This window comes from Homo sapiens, chromosome 5, assembly GCF_000001405.40.
Source record: "Homo sapiens chromosome 5, GRCh38.p14 Primary Assembly".
Classification (NCBI taxonomy): domain Eukaryota; kingdom Metazoa; phylum Chordata; class Mammalia; order Primates; family Hominidae; genus Homo; species Homo sapiens.
Window position 1 is genome coordinate 73679836 of NC_000005.10, and position 22848 is coordinate 73702683.

General features: G+C 39.5%; 1 protein-coding gene across 4 annotated transcripts in view, besides 1 other annotated feature; it reads left to right on the forward strand.

Annotated features, from left to right (window-relative positions):
- ARHGEF28 (Rho guanine nucleotide exchange factor 28) overlaps positions 1 to 22848 on the forward strand; it is a 315795-nt gene that overhangs the window by 53640 nt on the left and 239307 nt on the right. For all 4 annotated transcript variants that reach the window (NM_001080479.3, NM_001177693.2, NM_001388076.1 and 1 more), the window contains exon 2: positions 5006 to 5049. In NM_001080479.3, coding sequence (NP_001073948.2) covers positions 5017 to 5049 — 33 coding nt within the window. In that variant the 5' untranslated portion in view covers positions 5006 to 5016. The remainder of the gene's footprint in view (positions 1 to 5005; positions 5050 to 22848) is intronic.
- Positions 13647 to 14271: an enhancer, noted in NCBI's record as "OCT4-NANOG hESC enhancer chr5:72989307-72989931 (GRCh37/hg19 assembly coordinates)". NCBI's record gives its function as "activates a minimal SCP1, AML or CMV promoter by ChIP-STARR-seq in primed H9 embryonic stem cells {active_cell/tissue: H9 hESC(primed)}" and the evidence as "EXISTENCE:reporter gene assay evidence [ECO:0000049][PMID:30033119]".

Sequence of the window (22848 nt, forward strand, 5' to 3'; positions counted from 1 at the left end):
CAATATAACCAGCACGTCTCAATGTAGTATAGATTTTTATGGTTACTTCGCATCTCATTACATAAATTGCAAAGATTTGACCACATTGGAGTTCTTATTTCCACAAAATTAACCATGTTGATTGATTAATGTCCCATAGAATATTTTGTGCTTTTGGCTTCAAGTTCTTTGTTGCAGAACCTTGCTCATGAATGACAAAGTGAATGAGTCTTGTGTGTGGTGTTTTTAAAACTTCTTATAAGAGCAGCTGCCTTACCAGTGGTTGTACTTGAACAGTTTTCGATAGAACACTATTTTTTATTAAAAAAATAATTCACAGCTGGGCACCATGGCTCACACCTGTAATCCCAGCCCTTTGGGAGGCTGAAGTGTGTGGATCACCTGAGGTCAGGAGTTCAAGACCAGCCTGGTCAACATGGTGAAACCCCATCTGTACTAATAATACAAAAATTAGCTGGGCGTGGTGGTGGGCATCTGTAGTCCCAGCTACTCAGGAGGCTGAGGTAGGAGAATTTCTTGAACCTGGGAGGCAGAGCTTGCAGTGAGCTGAGATTGAGCCACTGTATTCCAGCCTGGGCAAGAGAGTAAGACTCCATCTCAAAAAAAAAAAAAAAAAAAAAAAAAAAAGGGATTCACTCTTCAGAATATGTCTCCATATTCTCACTTAAAATGATGGGTTTTGGATGGGAGGGGAGTGAGGGATAAAAGACGACACATTGGGTACAGTGTACACTGCTCGGGTGATAGGTGTACCCAAATCTCAGAAATCACCACTAAAGAACTTATCTATGTAACGAGACACCACCTGTTTCTCCAAAAACCTATTGAAGTAAAAAATAAAAATTAAAAAAAAATTTTGAGTATATTTTATCAGATAAAATCTAGCAAATACCACAAGTTGAGTTGTGAAAAACATCTGTACTTTTTTCTAAGTGTACAGCAAACTTCTTGCACAATTAAATTTGCTCTAATAGACTTGTTTCTTAAAATATTCAACAGTCTTCAATAGTTTTACTCATAAAGAAATTCCTTTTATCTTTTTTTTTCTTTAGAGATGGAGTTTTGCCATGTTGCCCAGGCTGGTCTCAAACTCCTGGGCTCAAGCGATCCACCTGCCTCGACCTCTCAAAGTGCTGGGATTACAGACATGAACCACCAAGCCTGGCCAAGGAATGCATTTTAGTTTGCTGCTTTATTTCTCTGTATTCTTTCAGCTATTTTTTTTTAGCTTCCACATTTCCTATAGTAATGCATTTTTTTTTTTTTTTTTGGCTATTAAGTGGAAATCCCAAAGTACTGGGATTATGTACAAAAATACATAAGGATCTTCTAATTTTATCATCAAGTTAAGCAAATTTTGTGAAAGACTGGAATTGTATAAGGCATGACTATAAACATAGATGACAAATTGCTAATATCTTGAAGTGCAGCAGACATTTAAGGTGAGGATCATAGTATATGCTAGTGGATATAAATTAATTTTTTAAATGCCTTCTTGATAATTTAGAATTTTGGAAGGATCAACTTGTTAATGTTCTTGGGTTGGCCATTATTTTTATTTTATGGGTGGCTGGTGAACAATTTATACTCGGAATAGGAGTCTCAGTTCTTTCATATTCTTGTTAGTATTATCTTTAATTTGAAGTTTCTGAGACTCTGGTTTGTAAAGTTAGTTTCATTAAAAATTGATGATTATAGGCTGGGCATGGTGGCTCACACCTGTAACCCTAGAACTTTGGGAGGCTGAGGCAGGCGGATCACTTGAGGTCAGGAGTTGGAGACAATCCTGGCCAACATAGTGAACCTTGTCTCTCCTAAAAAATACAAAAATTAGCTGGGCATGGTGGTGCATGCCTGTAATACCAGCTATTCGCTAGGCTAAGGCACAAGAATTGGTTGAACCTGGGAGGCAGAGTTTGCAGTGAGCCAAAATCATGCCACTGCGCTCTAGCCTGGGCAACAGAGCGAAACTCTGTCTCAAAAAAAAAAATTGATGATTATTTTCTGTAATCCCAGCACTGTGGGAGGCCAAGGCAGGAGGATCACTTGAGGCCAGGGGTTTGAGACCAGCCTAAACAACATAGCAAGACCCTATCTGTACAGAAAAATACAACTTAGCACGCCTATCATCTTAACCATGTGGGAGGCTGAAGCAAGAGGATTGCTTGAGCCCAGGATATCAAGGTTACAGTGAACTATGATTGTGCTGCTGCATTCCAGCCTGGATGACAGAGTGATACTGTTTCAAATAATAACAATAATAAATGGATTATTATAATCTATAAACCCATTTAAGTGGGTCCACATAAACTGCCATAGGGGCATGATATTTTAAATAAAATTGAGGGCTGAGAAGGGCCCTGTTGTCAAACCCTCTGCCTTGTAGGACCCTCACTCATCTCTCAAGATGTCTTAGGAAACATGACTTGGGACCTAGGAGGATGCTATCACCAGTGTGTATAGGAAGTATTAGTAGAACTTAAATGGTTTTATAAAAAGTACCTCAAAATAGAACTTTTCATATTCACTTTCTTGCCAAGTGTATCCTCTGGGGATTACTGTACTAAATATCACAATTCATTCTTTTTTTTTTTTTTTTGAGATTGAGTTTCACTCTTATTGCCCAGGCTGGAGTACAATGGCACAATCTGAGCTCATTGCAACCCCTGCCTCCTGGGTTCAAGCGATTCTCCTGCCTCAGCCTCCAGCTGAGATTACAGGTGCCTGCCACCCTGCCCAGCTAATTTTTGCATTTTAGTAGATATGGGGTTTCACCATATTGGTCAGGCTGGTCTTGAACTCCTGACCTGAGGTGATCCACCTGCCTCAGCCTCCCAAAGTGCTGGCATTACAGGTGTGAGCCACCATGCCCAGCCCCACAATTCATTCTTAAGAGAAGCCTCTAAAGTACTGCAGCAGAGCTCTGGCTGGGCATGGTGGCGCATGCCTGTAAGGCCAGCCACTCGGGAGGCTAAGGCACAAGAATCGCCTGAACCTGGGAGGCGGAGGTTGCAGAGCCAGGCTTGGCCTAAGGAGCAGAACCCAGGCCTCAAATGTGCAGTGGGAGGGAGGCAAGGGTGCAGGGACAAGTGAGTCTTCCTGTCTGCCCCATTTAGAATTCTCTTGCAGCCTGCTCCTCCATTTCTCCTAATCTTTCATTCTCTTTCATTCAGCTTGGAACTCCTTGAGGGCTGGACCACTTTCTGGTGGACCCAGAAGGCATGTCTTTATTATCTTTGTGTAATACCTGGCCCGCAGTTGGTGTTCAGTGAGTGATGCTGGGTTTTTTTTGTTTTTTTTCTAAGTAGGAAACAAGTTTCTAAGTGCTATTTGTTTACTTTTAAATTTTTAACTGTGGCAAAATAGACAACATAAAATTTACCATCTTAACCATTTTTAACATAGGCCAGTAGTGTTAAGTATATTCACATTGCTGTGAGACCATTACCGTTGTCCATCTCCAGAACACTTTCATCTATGCAAAACTGAAAGTCCATATCCAATAAAGAATAAAGTCCTCTGTGTCCCACCCCTGGCAACTACCAATCATTTTTTTTTCTGTTTCTCATGTCAAACTCATGTTTGATTACTCTAGGTACCTCATATAACTGGCATCATATAGTATTTTTCCTTTCTGTCTGAGTTCTTTCACTTAGGGTAATGTTGTCAAGGCTTGTCCAATTGTAGCATGTGTTGGAATTGTATTCCTTTTTAAGGCTGAATAACATTCCCCTGTAGGTGTATATCACATTTTGTTTATCCATCCATCTGTGCTGTTTTTAAAGGGGCAGGCACACCGAGAGGCAGATCCAGGTGCACACACCTGGCAGAGAGGTTGGTTAGCTTGACAGTGGGCTGCATCCTACCCATGTGTTCATGCAGCTGAACTCTCTGGCCCTCTGTGTAAGGGAGGCAATAGAACTATCTTGTCACTATGCTATTCTGCCTCACCTGGCCAAAAGTGGACTCTGACTTTGGAATCACCTGGAGCCAAGCGATGAACACAGGTGAAGCTTTCAACATGCTTATATTGACCTTTCTTGGCTTTCTGAAATATTTTTATTTTAGGAGCAGTCTATGGGATAGTGTCTGGGGTCATAGGGTTTCCATATGTGTGGAAACTAATATAAAATAATAAAGGTGGTGGGATATATATTTTTTCAAATTCAAATTGTTTTTATTTTGCCTCATGTAGACACTACATGTACTATAATTACTATGATTTTTAATTTTGATAATATATAGAAGGTTTACCATTTGAACCATTTTTTCAGGTACAACTCAGTGGAACTAAGTACATTCACATTGTTGTGCAACCATCACCCCCACCAGCCATCTCCAGAACTTCCTTATCTTCCCAAACTGAAACTCTATGGCCATTAAATAATAACTCTCCATTCTCCCCAACGTCCAGCTTCTGGTAATCTCTATTCTACTTTTTTCTATGAGTTGGACTATCTAGGTACCTCATATAAGTAGAATCATACAGTATTTGTCCTTTTGTGATTGGCTTGTTTTACTTAGCATAGTGTCTTTAAGGCTCATTCGTGTTATAACATGTACTAGCCTTTTGTTTCTTTTCAAGGCTGAATAATATTCCATTGCATGTGTATACCACATTTTGATTATCCATCCATCCGTCAATGGACATTTGGGTTTTTCTATCTTTTGGCTATTGTGAATCATGCTGCTATGAACATAGGTATAAAAATTTCTGTTTGAGTCCCTGCTTTCAATTCTTTGGGTATATACCTGGAAGTAGAATTGCTAAGTCATATGGTAATTCTACGTGTAATATTTTGAGGGGCCATCATATTGTGTTCTAGGGGAGGATATTTTATTTAGATAGCATCTTAGTCCTTTATTCTTTCATATTTTGTCTCTGCAGTTTTCCTATCTAATGAGTTTGCTTCTCCCTCCACAATATTGATAACTGGAGAGCTCTGCTGGTCGGTTCCATGGGGCCTCCTGCAATAACTTCTCTTGTTTATTATTTTCATTGCAGATGCGAAAGCCATGGAGTTGAGCTGCAGCGAAGCACCTCTTTACGTAAGTTGCTAAGCACGGGGCTTCAGGTCCAAGGGGCCCTTTCTTAACTCCAAACCATGTGACTGAAGTGGGGAGAAATGTTTTTCTTGCTATTGAGTTAAGGCTTTTTAAAAACAACACACTGAGCGTTACTGTCTAGTTCAAGTATTTGCATGGAGCGTTTTAAAACTGGTTGGCTCCTGTTTTAAACTCTGGATTTTATATTTCCCTCAGTATTTTTTTAAGTGTGTAATTTCTGGATTCAAACACTCAGTTCACTCATATGAGTGGTGTGTGAATATATTATTTTATGATAATATCCTGATAATAGTCAAGAACTTTTCTATGTGTGTCTTTTTGAGGGGAAGGTTTCATGATAATTGTGTCAGCTAAAAGTATGAAATAAGAATTCAAACAAAAAGTGTTGGGACATAAACAGAAGTGGGAGTTGGCGCTGGGGGGGACAGGAATGCCCAAGGAGATTTGTACTTAGATGTGCCATCTAGGCCCAGGAGGATGCCATTCTGAGAACAACTCCTGGGGGTAACAGGGAAGTGAACAGATTGTTTCCTCACACAGAAAATGGCAGATGGCCTCATCTTTCCTCCTTCCTTCTGATTTCAGACAAAACTTCCTTTCTTGGGAAGGAACTGTGTTGGTGTGAGGTGGGGCCTGGGCAGGTGGGCCTGGGTGTGTGAGGAGACTGGAGTTTAGAGCAAAATTTCAAGGAATTGAAACAAATTTTATTTTTTTTATTTTTTATTTATTTATTTATTTTGAGATGGAGTCTTACTCTGTCACCAGGCTGGAGGGCAGTGGCATGATCTAAGCTCACTGCAAACTCCGCCTCCCAGGTTCAAGCGATTCCCCTGCCTCAGCCTCCCAAGTAGCTGGGATTACAGGCACATGCCACCACGCCTGGCTAATTTTTTGTATTTTAGTAGAGATGGGGTTTCACCATGTTGGCCAAGATGGTCTTGATCTCCTGACCTCGTGATCCGAATGCCTCGGCCTCCCAAAGTGCTGGGATTACAGGCATGAGCCACCACACCCGGCTGGAATTGGAACAAATTTAATCAGAATCCTCAATTGATGAGAATAGATTCATCCACTTCCCACACTTCACTACCCAGCCAAGTGCCTACTCACTCACCCTCACTCCCTTCTACACATGACACATACTTCTCTGGAGGAAGACAGAGTCATAAACCAAATTGATTCCAGAATAGTAGAAAAGCTGCCCCTTGAGTTGCCCAGTGATCTCTAGTACTCTCTCTAGGTTGTGATTTTCAGGCCATAAAATGTGCCTGTAGACAGTTGGGTTTGGCCCAGACATGATTAAAGATTAAAAAAAAGGCTGGACTGAGGCTAAATTGTAAAGTACTCCCAAATCTTACTGCTGTTTTTTCTGTGTGTGCCTTCCTATTCCTCACTCATTCCACCCTCCTCCCCTACCTCAAAACAGACAAATCCACAAGCCTAATCGTGATAGAAGCCTTGTAGCTGACCGACCTCCTCATGTAGCTATTTTGACCATAGACTTACTAGATTGTGACCAGATTTGGGGAAAAACCAATACACATTGCCCAAGGAGAGAAGAGATTTAAATGAACCAAATAAAAACAAAAACAAGTTTTTCTTTTTTCTTTTTCTTTTCTTTTTTTTTTTTTTTCGAGACGGAGTCTGGCTCTGTCACCCAGGCTGGAGTGCAGTGGTGCGGTCTCGGCTCACTGCAAGCTCCGTCTCCCGGGTTCACGCTATTCTTCTGCCTCAGCCTCCTGAGTAGCTGGGATTACAGACACCGCCACCACGCCCGGCAAATTTTTTTTTGTATGTTTTTAGTACAGACAGGGTTTCACCGTGTTAGCCAGGATGGTCTCGATCTCCTGACCTCGTGATCTGCCTGCCTCGGCCTCCCACAGTGCTGGGATTACAGGCGTGAGCCACCGTGCCCAGCCAAAACCAAGTGTTTCTAGTTATTAAAAAAATGCTGATAAGAGTAAAATGAAAAGTACAGGAAAGTGTTAAGAAAATAAGTCATAATCTCACCCCCATGGATAATGTTATTATATTAAAATACTAATATATTTTATCATTTTTAAGGTGTAATTTTTCTTCTCATTTTAACATCTCTAAAATTGAGATGCTCTTACATTCACTGTGCTTCCTGGCAGATGTCATTACCTACACGTGTGTGACCTTGGTTACAGGGGTTCATATTGTTGTCATTTCAGTTTATTTATATACCTTGCTGGTGCTACATAAATTAATTGCTTTCAAAATGACTTCACCATGATCTAGCATTATAAGGCAAAGTTACTATGTAACTAGAAAGACTTGGAAATAACAGCATGTTACATGATAAAATCTATGTATAGATTAATTTAGAAAAGGTCTTTTAATAAATATAAAATTCTAGGTAATTAAAAATTACATCCTAGTTGGCATTTTTTCTAGTAGAATATTAAATGTATATTATAAATAATGATATCTTAGATAAAATATATGAAATATATTTAACATAACTGACACTACATATGATAGAGTATATAACATTTTTTAATTTAATTTAACATTTCTGGTCAATATTATTGCAAAATGAATTAAGCCAATCTAGCCACTTGGCCTCATCCAGCAAGAGGTCATTAGAGATATGTCATAATGAAAATGAGTCTTAAACCAAAATCTACCAAATGGGTAATGTCGTGCAGACAGAGCAGACTCAAAACTGTCCTACAATTTGTTTCTGTATTTTGGGGAAGAACCTGCTCTCTGCCCTTCTATCTTCAGAGGTTTGGTAAATATTCACTTCTAGTTTCTCTTAGTTTACTAAATTTTTGTTCATAAGCCCTTAATATTTTTTCTTATTTATATATATTTATTGTAAAATATTAGAAAGAGACCCAGCAAAAAGAAAAAATTAAAACCTCATGTTTAATCCCATGGTGAATGATAAGCTCTGTTGACATTTTGATACAGATTTTTCCAGAGTTTTATCTATATCTCTGTTGAATTTTATCAAGGGTCCTTTTGACATTTATTTAGATGATACAGTGTTTTCTCATTTGATAGTGATTTATTCAATCTCTTAATTTTGGTGACTTTATGTATGTACTTCAAGTAATCCTACTTAGTTATTTTGACTATTTCTTTTGGAAAAACAAAATAACTCTGGCAAGTGTGTAATAAAGATATCCTCTCCATTGGAATTTGTGAAGAATCCATTACATATTGGGAGGCTATATTAAAATTATAAAATAACACTATGCATAATTGTATGTTAATGCACTAGAAAATCTAATTACAACAGACTTTTAAAAATATATAAATTAATAAGATTTACCTCAAGGACAATTAGATTACGTAAGTGGAACAATAATCAGGAAGGAAAAAAATTGATTGAAATTATTCCCCAATTTCTACCCACCTCTCAAAAAAGGGCACCTCATTCAGATAGGTCTTATAGGTGATTTTTTATTCCTTTGCTTATAACCTGTTTTGATGGAATTCTTATAACATTTTTATGGCTAAAATTCTTCTTTGTCTCTATTTGTCGGGTCACTTTAGAGAATCTTTCCTGAAGATGATAGACATCTTTATACCTATAGAAAAATCTATGGATGTAAATATTTTCTTAAATTCCCCATGCATTTTGCTTGGATTGATAAAGAACATTTTTTATTTTTCTTTTTAAAGATTGTTTCTTCCACTATTGTTTTCCCCTTCTAGACAGAACAACTAATATCCAAAGATTGGATTGTTTTTTTCTTTTTGGGGAGAGAGGAGGGTTGCATTCTGGAAGGCTTTTTTTTGAGATGGAGTCTCACTCTGTCTCCAGGCTGGAGCACAGTGGCACAATCTTGGCTCACTGCAACCTCAGCCTCTGGGTAAGTGATTCTCCTGCCTCAGCCTCCTGAGTAGCTGGGACTACAGGTGCATGCCACCACGTTCAGCTAATTTTTTTGTATTTTTAGTAGAGACGGCATTTCACCATGTTGGCCAGGATGGCCTCGATATCTTGACCTTGTGATCCACCCACCTCGGCCTCCCAAAGTGCTGGGATTACAGGTGTGAGCCATCACACCAGGCCAATAATGTTTATCTTTGTTTTCCACTTAAGTTTTCAGTAGCATCAAGTTGTTTTGTTCCTTGCTTGCCAGCACAATTTTAGATTCTATCACTTTTAGTTTTTATGTAGCTTTGTCAAATCTTGGCCTTTTTATGCCCACGTAGTTTTATAGAGATAATCTTTTACATTTTATTATGAGCACAAAGCAAGAATTAAATTTTTGTTTTTCTGTACCTTTCAGGAATCTGTTTCAGAAGGAGGTGCAGTCTTTGGCTCTGTCTCTTGTGCTGTAGAATTTTTTTGGCTCATTTCTGTTTGCTCATTTTTAGGAAGGAGACTCTATTTTCTTCTTGGAGATATAGTAATATTCCTGAACTCAGCCACAGATTCAGTTAAATTTTTATTTGATTTATTTTTTTAAATTTATTTTGAGATGGGGCCTCACTGTTGCCCAGGCTGGAGTGCACTGGCATGATCTTAGCTCACTGCACCCTCGACCACCTGGGCCCTAGCAAGCCTCCTGCCTTAGCCTCCCCAGTAGCTGGGACTACAGGCACATGCCACCATGGTCAGCTTTAGTCTAATTTTTAAAAGAATCCATGGCAGTTCCCTGAGTTGCAGTTGCAGAAAAAGAGAAACACTACTAAGATCAGAGAAGAAGCAGGAATTGGCAAGACTGGCAGCCAAGAGCTTTATAATATCACTTTGTGGAACCTAGGGATATATATGAGCATTGCAAATCCAATTTTTAGTCTCTAAGCAGCTTCCTGCATTCGTGCTTGAAAAGAAACTGAAGGAGCAGCACTGGAAGGCTAGTCTGTTTATTCCAAGGAGAAAAAGAAAAAACAAAAAAAAAAAACACCAGAGGCCTGCAGTCTGGTTTGAAGTCTAGGCTTAGTTTTTAGACTGAATGGTACAATAGTATTAGGAGGTGTATTTTAAGCTGGAAAGAATTGTGGTGGTGAAGCTAATGAGAAGTGCAAAAGCCTGGAAAAGGGTAAGTTAGAATCAGTGGAACCTAAGGTGTTTATTTTTCTGGCTGAAAATTCTTCAGTTAACACCACTTGGGAGCTTAAAAGTTCTGTACTGGAAATTATAAAGATATTTTTATTTTGGTTTTATTTTTAAATTAATTATTTTAAGATTTCACGTTGCCGTGAGAAAGTAGATAATTTTATTTTTAGATTATTGCTCTTAGTCTTCTTTTTCCTAGTTTGTGTGTAAAAAGAGATAGGAAACGATGCAAGGACAGCTTAAGAGGAGAGATTTTGCTTACTGGGCATTTAATTAAACTTTGAGAGAGGAAGAGATTTTGCATTTACAAGCCAATTTGTGTTTTTGCTAATGAATGCTTTTTGATTACATTTTATATTGAGTTTTCTCTACATTTTGTAAATCAAGGAGAATTATAAAACAAATACCTATTCTACTTATTTATCCAAGAGCTCCTTTTTTTACATTAATTATATTTTATTTTTGTATAAAGTATAATTGGCTGTGTGTGGTGGCATATACCTGTAATGTCAGCACTTTGAGAGGCTGCTTAGTCCTCCCTAGATCAGCCTGGTCAACATTGTAAGACTCTGTCTTTACAAAAAAAAAAAAAAAAAAAAAAAAAAGCCACGTGTGGTGGCTCAAGCCTATAGTCCCAGCTACTTGGGAGGCTGAGGTGGGAGGATCACTTGAGCCAAGGAGTTCAAGGCTGCAGTGAGCTGTAATCACACCACTGCACTCCAGCCTGGGTGAGAGAGCAATACCCTATCTCAACAAAAACAAAAGCTGTTTGTAAAGTATAATTAATGCTAGTCTTTCTGAAATATCAGTTTAGTGCTGTGAATAAAACAGAAAAGTCTTGCTTGAGAAATTGTTGGTTCCGAAGATTTTTCCATTTTTCCTCAATTAAAATGGCTTTATTTAAAATGATTAAATAACACTTGCTTATTATAAAGAATATAATAGTAAGTAAAATTATTAAAAAGAAAGTGAAGATCAGTTGAAGTTCCACCTTTTTTTTTTGAGACAAATTCTCGCCGTGTCATCCAGGCTGGGGAGTGTAGTGCGATCTTGGCTCACTGCAGCCTCCACCTCCTGGGTTCAAGCAATCCTCCTGCCTCAGCTCCCAGAGTAGCTGGGACTAGAGGCATGAGCCACCACACCTGGCTAATTTTTGTATTTTTTGTAGAGATGGGGTCTTGCCATGTTGCCCAGGCTGGTCTCAAACTTCTGGGCTCAAGAGATCCACCCACCTTGGACTCCTAAAGTGATGAGATTATTGGCATGAGCCACTGTGCCCAGTGAAATTCTCCTTTTTAGAGAACTTTATTAGTATTTTGGTAAACACTAAAATTTGTTTGGCAAATGTGTACACACACACACACACACACACACTCATGATATTTCATAAGGAATTATACGGGAATGCTGTTTTTATTATAATGGACAGGACCCCATTTCCCCTCACCCCCATTTTATAATTCCCGTTCCTGTACTCTGAGCTAACCCTTAGAGTCATCTCCTGCAGGGGTTCTTAGCAGCATCAGCATCCCTAGGAACTTGCCAGAAATGCAAATTCTCAGACCTCATGCTGGACCTACTGAATCAGACACTCTGTGGATGGGGCCCAGCAATCTGTGTTTTAATAAAACTTTCAAGCGATTCTGCTGTGTGCTAAAGATTGAGAACCATGGACTTAGTGCAAACATTTTCATGTTCTTCTGTATTCATATATACATATACAAGCTTTAGTAGAAGGATCATATTATGTGGACTTCTGTATCTTTTCCAACTCAGTGATACTTTGTATAAACTCCTATAAGCCATCAGACATAGCTCAAACTCACTCTAATTAATGAATAGGTATGGGTCAAGCTCATTCCCTATTGATGGCCATTCACTTTGTTTCAGTTCTTGGCAATCATGAACAATTATTCACCAGACATCCTGTCCATATGTCCTTATATGTTGATACTTTCATCTCTATGGGATAGATTCCTAGGAGTAGAATTGCTGGATGAAGGGCATACATATTTTAAATTTTAGTGGATTGCTTTGCAAATGAGATCTAATAGTTGACATTTTATTCAGCAACTTTCAGAAATATTTAATGTCTATTTCTTTAGCTTTAATAACTGATAATTATGTAGCTGGGGATTATGTTCTCATTTTCATTGTGCAAAGAAAGGAGGGATGTTAAATTTTGTATGTTGATTAAGTTGGTGAAGGGTTAGAAGTGTCCTTTATTTCTCCCATTTCTCAAATTCTGACTAATATGAGCATCTATTAGTCAGAATTTGACTAATCCGTGGAGATTTTTTTTAACATCTGCAGAGGGTGCATGTGTGAGACTGTGTGTGTGGGCTCTTGCTCCCTTCCACCCTTCTGAGGTGCTGTGCAGACATGTTAATCATAGCCACTGACTGAGAAGAGTGTAATCACTTTTTTCTCTGGAGGCTGCAAATTGTATAACCATTTGGGCAGTGGGAGTTTTTTGCTTCAGTAGCTTGTTTCCAGCTGGATCTAAGATACTTCGCTATTCCCTTAGCATTTTATGTTTATATTATTCTTTTATTCTGAGTCACTGTCTCCTGCTGTGTTTGGTCCCAAGAATGTTGGTTGCTGCTGGGCTCATTGTGGGTGTTGAAGGTATAATCTGATGTCTAGAGGTAGTGGGGGAAACTCTATCCTATTCAGCCTTTTCTAATTTCTGGATGTTGGTATAGCTTCCATGAATACTTGGTGGAGCATGCTCCCCTTGGTCCCAGCCTTCTGCAGGGAGGGCCGGAGGACAGGGCCCAAGTTGTCTGGATGGACTCTTCCCCAGCTCAGGGAAGCAGCTTCTTATTGAGGTAGTAAGTGACTTGGTGGCTTTGTTCTGGGGTCACCCAGCAGGGGCCTTCTTCCGGATCCCTGCAGATTCCCTGTGGCTTTTGGGTCCTGTGGAAGGAAATCCTGTCCTCCAGACACTGCCCTTCTCTCTTGGTGGCCCTCCATCCCCCAGTGGGCTACCTATGACTGGCCTCATGCCCATCAACTCGAAATATTAGTCTATGAGGGCATCTTGGGGACCTTTGCCTGGGCACCCTCACTTTGCTGATGAGGAGATTAGTCTCCAAGAGGGAGATTGACTGGCTTGACTAAGTTAACTCAGCTGGTTTGACACTCTGGATTTTAAAATGCTCTATTAGAAGTCATAAGAATAATTTTTTTTGACTCAGAAAATTTGTTAGTGGCAGATCCCACAATAAGCCTGGGGTTTTCCGACCTTCACTGGTAACGACCTTCCCCACTGCTCTGCCACATCTCCATTTCCTCATTGACCAAGTACTCAAAGGCACCATTTTATCCTTTCCTGTCCTGCAACTGCCTTTGAGCTTTCTGACATGAATGGGGCTCCTTCATGGACCTTAAATTAAAGGGTCTCTCTTTTCTTTTATCTCACTAGAGGATGCTGCTGGTAACTATGTCTAGGCAAGCCCTGACCTTCTGAAGCTCATTTGCTCACAAGAAGCCAGACCTATTAATTGATGGTCATTTGCTCCATTCAGTTCTTCCCAGCTCAAAATAATAGAAATTTTCATTAGCTCAGGTGTCAGAGGGTGGTAGGTAAGGGTGTCTTTCAAAACAGGTTAGTACAGCTAAGTCTAGCTTAGCCAATGGAATCGGGCAGGGCTTTTGCCTGAATGCAACTTCTAGATCACGTGTTTACTTTGTGCAAATTTGTTTTTAGCGAATTATATTAACTTTACTTGTGTCTTTATTTAAAACACAGCAGCATGTGCATCTCAGAGGATTGCCACCTGCTGGGGTGTTTCTGCCATTGTCAGTTAATCTGTGCTCCCTGAAGTTGGTTTTCTTTGCTGGCTTTTGTTTTCTACTAACTTAACTTGACCTTTTCCTATCCTCTCTGAATGGCCTTGCTTTTATCTCTTTGCCTTGTCTCCTGTTTTCCTTCTGAGGGGGCAAACAAATTCCAAAGCAGCAGTTCTAGCCATAGAGCAAAGAGAGGACCATGGTAACTGTTTTACCCAGCCTGGCCAGCAGCCACGAGATGTCAGTTCCTGGGAAGTCTGAAGCTCCTTAGCTGCTGCAGGAGATTGCTTGGTAGTTCTGGCAGGAGCAGAGAGGAAAAGCTTCTCAGACTTTAGCAAAACCTTTGACTTACAAACATTTTACAAATCCTCCATTAGCTTCATCCCATTTCACATTTTGAAAGAAACAGTTCCCTCTTCTCTCAATACAATGCCACTTTATGGTGCCCCCTCCTACTGTCACAACTGAGATGATAAGCTTCTGGGGAAAGGCCCAAAGGTGAATATACAACTACAGAAGACCACAGGAAGAGTCAGCCTAGCACCCAGCTTTGAAGAAATTTCTTAGTGGGTGTGAGTTTCAGGTCCGTGGGTAAGTAAGTGCCAAGTGTGCTTAAAGTCTGATGCTGCCTCACTTCCTGTATTTCAGTGACAGCTCCCACAATTTGGGTGGTGTGCAGCCTGTATTTTTAATAAAGAACTTGAAGTAGCCGATATTTTTGTTCTGTTTGAGTTTTTAAAATGTTTTACCATCTAAGTAAGGATTTTAGGCATGATGGAAATGGGTTAGAGTTTTCTCTGGGAGAAGCCTCAGTAAAAGAAATAACGTGATCCAGGTAAAATGTTTTATTTCCATATTCCAGAAAGGCAGCCCTTATAGAAGATGTGATTTAGCTATACTACCTTCTCAGCAGTTCCTCCTGCTTACACCTGAGGAGGGTGTGCATGTTTTAAATAAGTGTCTCTAGCTCTTGCCTTCTTTTCCTCTCCATATCTTGATGCTGTTACTTTTATCAAAACGGATCTTATGAAGGTCACTAAGTTTGCTCTTGCTTAATCTAAGGTGTTTATTTTCTCAAGTCCCCATTTAGTGCCATGCACTGTAAGAGCAGAGAGTGAGAAACAAGGTCTCACGTCCCTGCTCTCGCAGAATGCACTTGGGAGTAGGAGACAGAAAGTAAGTAGGTAAACGAATAAACAAATAAGAATTTCAGATGGTAGTATGGGTTAGGACAATACAAGGCTATGACATGGCAGAGAATTGTGTGTGTGTGTCATTAGTCTCTCTGGGATCTCCTGGAGAGCAGTCTAGTAGAGGGATCAGAAAGCACGAAGGCCCTGGAGTGGAAATGAACTTTTTGTATTTGAGGGACAACAAAAGGCCAGCATGGCCCTTGCATTGTGAGGGAGGGGAGAGGAGAGGAGACAGGTCAGAGAGGTGGGAGGGGCCAGGTCATGCCCATAGGTTGGTGGGGGAGTTGCATGATTTGATTTATGTTTAAAAAGTGTACTTTCAATGTTCGTGAACTCTGCTGGTTCTTTTTCAAGTTATCTCTTTGTCTATTGTGCTTTCCTCTCCTCTGTTGTGTGGGTGTTCCCCAGGGCCCTCTGCTTTCCCCTCTTTTTCTCGCGAGCTCATCTATTCTTGTTATTTAGACCACCACTCCTCCTGAAAGACTCCCACATGTGGGCCCTCTCGTCTTGACCTCTGCCCAGGCCTCGTCTTCCATTTCCAGCTGGCCTGTTTGCTATTATCACTCAGTTAGCCAGGATTTGACTTTAAGTTCAGACTGTTATATTTTTTAAAAGTTTTCCAAGTTTTCCTCTAAGCAACTCCTCTTTCCAACTTCCTGATTTCTGTTACCATCCCACCACTCTCCCAGGTGTCCTGCTTTAAGTTGAGTTTTTGTAATTCCTCCAACCTTTGTCCTCTGTCTTGATCAGTCATCAAGACCTGCTGATGGCCATGGCTGTCCTCTCTCTCTCCTCAGCCATTGTTCTAATTCACCTTTGGATTATTGCCCCTGGCCTCTTCAGAGTTGCCATTTTCTCAGAACTGGTGAAGACTTTATCATGTCTTTCAAGTATTATTTCCCTACATTCATCTCGCAACTCGCAGCCATATCATTTATCTGTTCTAATCAGACAAGTCCTCTCTACCCTAGTGGACTTTCCTCATTCTCTTATTTCTAGGACATCACCCAAGCTGTTTTCGTTCCATATCCAGGAATGCCACTAAGGTAGGAATGGGATGCAATATGGTATGTTGGTTATGACCTTGGATAGCTATGCATTTGGCCGTGCATCCTCTCCTGAACGCAGATTGTTACCCTTCATTACATTGCAATACCTAGTGCAGTGCCCAACGCACTGTAGGCTTTCACTAAACGTTTGTGGATTGAGTTTCTGGAGAATCATTGAGGGGAGGCAAGCTTGCTCTCTGACCCTTTATAGGAGCATTCCAGGCAATGGCTGTGGTCATTAGGGGGAGGGTCCCATTGACAAAAGTGTTGATAATTAAAGATGATTTGGGGTCACATATGTAGGACTGCAGAAACCCTTTACGCCATAAGCTCCAGCCATACCCTTCTGCTCTCAGTTCTTCGTGAATGCCATGCTTCTTCCTGGCCAGGACCTTTGTATGTGCGGTTGTCTTCACCTAGCATACTCTTGCTTCCTTCCCCTTTGTATAATTGAATTCTTACTCATTTTCCAGATTTCAGCTCAAATGTCACATCCTTAATATAGTCCTCTAGACATTTTCTATTTTGAGAGAGTATTGTTGTTATTGTTTTGTTTAGTGTCCCTTCTATTGTAAGCACCAATACAACAGAGACTCAAACATTCAATTAAAATTTGTAATTTGTCTTTATAAACGAATATTCATTTTCAATCTAATTTTGTTTTTATAATTTTATTCCTTTTCTGAAAGGAAATCCTTCCAATGGCATAATCTTCTAGTGGACAATTGTTTTTGTCCACTGATTTTCCAACACTAGTTTAGTGCTTGGCATGTATTACATAATAAATATTTGTTGAATTAGTACACAGTTCTAATTTAGTGCCATTCAATAAACAGCGGTTGAGGCTCCTCCTGGAGCACTCTTTAATTTTGTTGTTTGCTTATTTCTGTACTGTGAGTTTTCCCAGCAGGTATGTGACCATCACTATTTTGGGACTGGGACTGTCATTTGAGTTTTTGTATTCCAGCTGCACGAAGAGATAGAGAGATGGTCCAGCAGGAAGGTGCTGTCATCATAATCTTCAGTAAATTTGGAGGTTTGGGGAACATGTCTCAGAGTTTGAAACTTAACATTTTTAAGGTACTATATGGAATATGTAAACATTATGCAATAAAAAATTAAGGAAGTCTTTTCGAGGTAGACAATTCCTGGCTGAGAACTAGAACTTAACAGGAAGTTTTGTTAAAACTGTAGGGAATGAAAAGCTTACTTTATCAGACAGGAAGTTCCTGAAGAATCTCCTAACTCAGAAAAGATTATCTGTGAACGATGTCACATGAACTCTTTTTACCCCCTTCTTTAGCATTCTTTACTTAGTATCTCCCAGCACTTATAGTTACTGTAATTTGCATCTTTGAAAAAATCATTATGTTAATCTGTTTTCCATTACTTATAATAGAATACCTGAAACTGGGTAATTTATAAGAAACAAAATGTATATCTTATAGAACTAGAAGCTGGGAAGTCCAAAGTTGAGGGGGCACGTGTAGTGAGAGCTGCCTTGCTAGTAGGGACTCTCTGAAGAGTCCTGAGATGGCAGAGGCCATCTCACCTGAGGGGCTGAGTGTGCTCACACGATAGCTCAGGTCTCTCTCCCTCTTCTTACAGAGCCACCAGTCCCCCTCCCACAATAACCCATTAATCATGAATAGATTGACCTATTCATGAGGTCTCTGCCCTCATGATCCAATCACCTCTTAAAGGCCCTACCTCTCAATACAACCACATGCGGATTAAATTTCAACATGAGTTTCTGGAGGGGACATTCAAACCATAGCAACCATGAAGTTACTACCTTAGTTGATTAGAGCATCTCATGGTGCCCTACAACATGTTTTCACACATTAGCCATTTCATCAGAACCACACATCGTTTGGCAGTGGAGATGAACATGGTGATGTTAAGTGACTTGCCCCATGTGCATTTGTATGTGCATTAATTCACATGACAGATTTTAAGTTTCAAATACTAAGTGAAATACAGGCAGGGGCAGATGCAGGTTTTGTGAGGCCTGAAGATTATGCCATTGGAAGGATTCCCTTTCAGAAAAGGAATACAATTATAAAAATAAAATTAGATTGAAAGTGAGTATTCATTTATAACGATAAATAACAAATCTTAAAAAGCTGGCAAATTCCATAAACGTAACATTTCCAATTCAGATTCCTCTTATCCAGGTCCTGAAAATGCCCTCAGACATTCCAGTGCCACCCAACAGGAAGGAGAGTGTGTCCGAGGGGAAATTGAATGGAAAGAGAAAGCCAGCTTAACAAATTGTAGTTAAAATACCCCACCCCTTACCCTGCATAGAATACTTTTAATTTCTCTGTAACATCATCCACCAAGAACACTTTGGATAAACATCAAATTACAAGCTAATCTTGTGATATTCTATGTTGTTATTGTTGCTTTCCTCTGATGGAAATCTGGTGACCACCCCTGATTTGTACAGGTCAAATTTGATCCATTTTGAAAAGTCTCTTGCTACTGCAGATTAGAAGGAAATGACTGTATGACCATTTTGCTTAGGGTCTTCCCTAAGCATTGAAAGACGTCTTTGGGAGCCTTGAAGCTTCATTAGTGTGATATGGAAAATCTGCCTCTGGTTTCTGAGTTTTTTTTCAAAGATGGAGGAAACTGGCTGCCCTGCCCTTGAGAATTCGCTACTGGGGAGGCAATCGCATCATTACAGAAAGTGATTATGTGTGATAATTGTGATAAGTGTTGGATAAGAACATGCTGAGAATGCTCCTGAAGCCACAGGAGAGGCAAATGGACTGCAGAGCCTGTGTAGGAGCTGGGTTCACAATGGAGACTGGAATTAGCCGGGTCACAGGCAGGTGAAGGGTGGTCCAAGGAGAAGGCGTGGTCTGAGAGAGGGTGCCTGCACTGGTTGGCACCGGCTGACTGGAGGGGAGGGTTGCTGTGAGCCTGGGAGAGGAGGCTGGAGCCATCACACTTCTGGTGAGGGCAGTGCTGGCATTGGAACCCATGTCTTCAGCCTCTACCTGCATCACCACATTATATGATGGTCCTTGTGTTCTCCATGTACTTATACTTAATTTTGCGAACCCTTTTCTTTGAGTGTAGAGAAGAACATCAAGCTTTGCTTACAGATGGTGGAATTATTGGTGGCAGAAGAGGCAGCCCTAGTTTCTCCCCTAGAGCTGTGTGTGTGTGTGTATGTGTGTGTGTGTGTATGTGTGTTTGTGTGTGTGTGGTGGGGTGGGGAGTGCAATTTCTGAATAACCGTGAAGTTATGGTCATGAAAGGTGGCCCTGATGTGGGAATCTTTTGAGGTGCATGGCTAGCAAGGTTCCATGTTTCCCCAGGGACTTGTCTTCAGCCCTTCCTTCTTTTGTGCAGATCAATAATAAGGGGAATCGAGAGAGAGAGAGAAAGAGAACGAAAGAGAGCGGGGGGAGGGGAGAGAGGAGAGAGAGATTGATTTAGGGGAAAACTCTAAACAATTTAGGAAGAGTTGCAGGTATACACCATGTCAAAGACTTACGGTTGCCTTTTATAAAGTTGCCAAAGACTTTTGTGCCACCTTGGAATTAGAAATGACCAGGTTGTGGAGTAACATATACGGGAGGGCTCTCTTTGTGGGCCATCTGGGTGTAGAAAAGTGCTGAGCAGAGGCGTGCTGATGGGAGGGAATTTGAAAATCTGGGTTACTGAAACAATACATTTAAGCATCTAATATAACTATCGTTTAGATTATGGCTGTGGTTATTGAAAGTGACTGTGTAGGAAGAGGAAACAGCTTCTTGTATCCTTTTGAGAACAGACAACCATGAATCTACAGAAAACATAAAGTGATTAATGAAGTATTCATTTTCAGCAGATTATCTAATAAAGTTCCATCATTAAGGCATTAATCTATTTAAATTTACTTGACCAGTCATAAATTAGATTTAAAAAATGTGTGAGTCTCACCTGCCAACCTGACCATACTGCTTTCAAAAGTCTATTCTCATCAGTAGAATCTATTTTGATCACTTCTAGCCAATGAAAAATGTAAGCTTTTAGGAGAGAATGTTTCCTAGGACTCACCCACTCCCATTCAATGTTCTAATATGTAAAGAAAGTTACATATAAAATACTGGGATCAATCACAATGTCCATCTTTAGACAGTTGGTTAGATCAATTATCTGGTCTTTGAAAAGAATGATTGAGGTCTGAATGTGCTGAAGTGGAAAGATATCTATGAAATATGGTGGTTTTTTAAAAACACAAGTTGTAGGAGAATATGGGAACCCGTGTGTGTGTGTTTTTAAATGAAAAATACTTATATATTGACGGAACACTTCTAGAATGATACCCAAACTCCTGGAGTGGGGGTGGGGAATACCTTCTATATACACACTTTTCTACTGTTTGAATTTTTTACTATGAGCCCAAACTGTATAATCTGTTTTTAAATAGAGGAAAAAAGTTAAAAAGAATTTGTGAGTCTAGCAGGAATCACAGATTTTTTCCATTTAAAGTCATAAGAGAGAGGAGAGGATGGGGATAGGTTGGTCAGTGGGTACAAAGTTGCAATTATAGAGGAGGAATAAGTTCAGGTGTTCTATTGCACAGTTGGGTGACTATGGTTAACAGTAAAGTATCGTATATTACAAAAGAGCTGGAAGAGAAGCTTCTGAATATTCTCACCACAAAGATATGATAAGTGCAAGAGGTGATTGAGTACACGAAGTACATTGATTGGATCATTGTACAATATGTACATATCAAAATATCAAAGTGTCCCCTATAAATATGTATAATTACAATTTATTGATTAAAAATTAAATTCATCCCTGAGAGGTCTGAAAGAAAATTAAAAAAATAAAGTCACCATAAAATATTGTGTGAAAGGAATAGTGCATATTTTCGTAAGAAACTGAAAACACTTCCCGTGAGTTGAGACAAGAATATCCCAAGGGTTAGTGGAACAAAATGAGTTAAATAACTTTTTCAGTGGGAAGTCCAAGATTGGCTTTCATAATAATGCAGTTCTCTGTTTTTATTTTGAATTGTGACTTTTATTGTTCTTTACATCTTTACTGAATTCTTCATTAAGAATTTATTAATAAAGGTATTTTAGAAAAGTTACCTATACATAAAATCCTGTTTTAGCAGTACAGTGTCCTCTTTAATAAAACCCAGTGGTGAACACTTTTGATAAATACACTAAATTGTATGTTTGAAATCAGATTTTTAAATACTAGGTTTGTTTTGAAGTGGGAACACCTTATATGTCATTGTGTTTTTGAATTTTAAAAAGGTATTTATGCATGGATGGCAGGGGATTAAATGTGAAAATATATGATATTGTATCAAAACTTCTGACTGAACTCAATAGGGAGTTTTCCCCCAGGCAAAGGGGTAAAAAATAAGCCATATAAGGTGATATCTGACACATTGTCAGTGAGATTTCTATTGGTAACCGCCATTGTGCTCTTAGTGGAAGTTGGGATGATGGGAGGGGGCTACTAGCCATTAAATTGCATGTGGTCTTTAGTTAAAAATGGGGGTGCAGAATAATTTTTGAAGCATTTTTGATGGCTCAGAATTGCAAGTATCTTCAGCTTTCATCGATGAGTAGATAAACTATGGGACATACATATGCCCTCACTCCCCTCCCCCCACCATTCCTAACCCCTGACAACCATTAATCTGTTCTTGATCTCTATAATTTTGTCATTTCAAGAATGTTATATATGTGTGAAGTAATACAGCTTATGATCTTTTGGGACTGCCTTTTTAATCACTCAGCATAATGCCCTTAAGAAACAACCAGTTGTTGTGCGTATCGAGGGCTCATTCTTTTTTGTTGATGAGTCATATTCCATGATATAGGTGTCCAATTTGTTTAACCATTTCAGGTTTTTCCAGTTTGTTTAACCATTCCACTTTGTTTAACCATTCCAGGTTGTTTCCAGGTTTTGGCTCTTATGAATAAAACTGCTATGGACAATTGTATATAGGTTTTTGTCTGGACATAATTTTCATAACTTTTCAAATGTGGATGTTCTTGGGATAAACGTCCAGGAGTATGATTGCTGGGTCGTATAGTAAGTGTATGTTTAGTTTTTAAAGGAACTGACAAACAATTTTCCAGAATGGCTGTATCATTTTACATTCCAACCAGCATCATACAAGAGAGCCAATTTCTTTGCATCCTTTTGAGTATTTGGCATTACTGCTATTTTTTATTCTAGTTATTCTGATAGGTGTATAGTGATGTCTCATTATGGTCTCTGGTATAGATCGTTTTTCTTTTCAGAAATTCTGGTAAAATATAACATATCATGTATTTAATCAATCTTTAAGTGTATAGTTTTGGTGGCATTGAATACATTCATATTGTTGTGCTGCTGTTAGGACTATGCATCTGTAGAACTTTTCCATCTTCTCCAGCTGAAACTCGGTATCCTCTGAGTGATAACTCCTCATCCTTCCTTTTACCAAAGCCCCCGGCAACTATCATTCTACTCTTTGCCTCTATGAATTTTATTACTCTAGGAACATTAATGTACAAGTATCCGTTTGAGTCCCTGCTTTCAATTTTTTAGGTATATACCTAGAAGTAGAATTGCTGGATCATATGGTAATTCTGTGTTAGCTTTTTGGGGAACTGCCAAACTTTCCTACAGTGGCTGCACCATTTTACATTTTCAGCAGCAGTGCACAAGTGTCCTATTTTCTCCC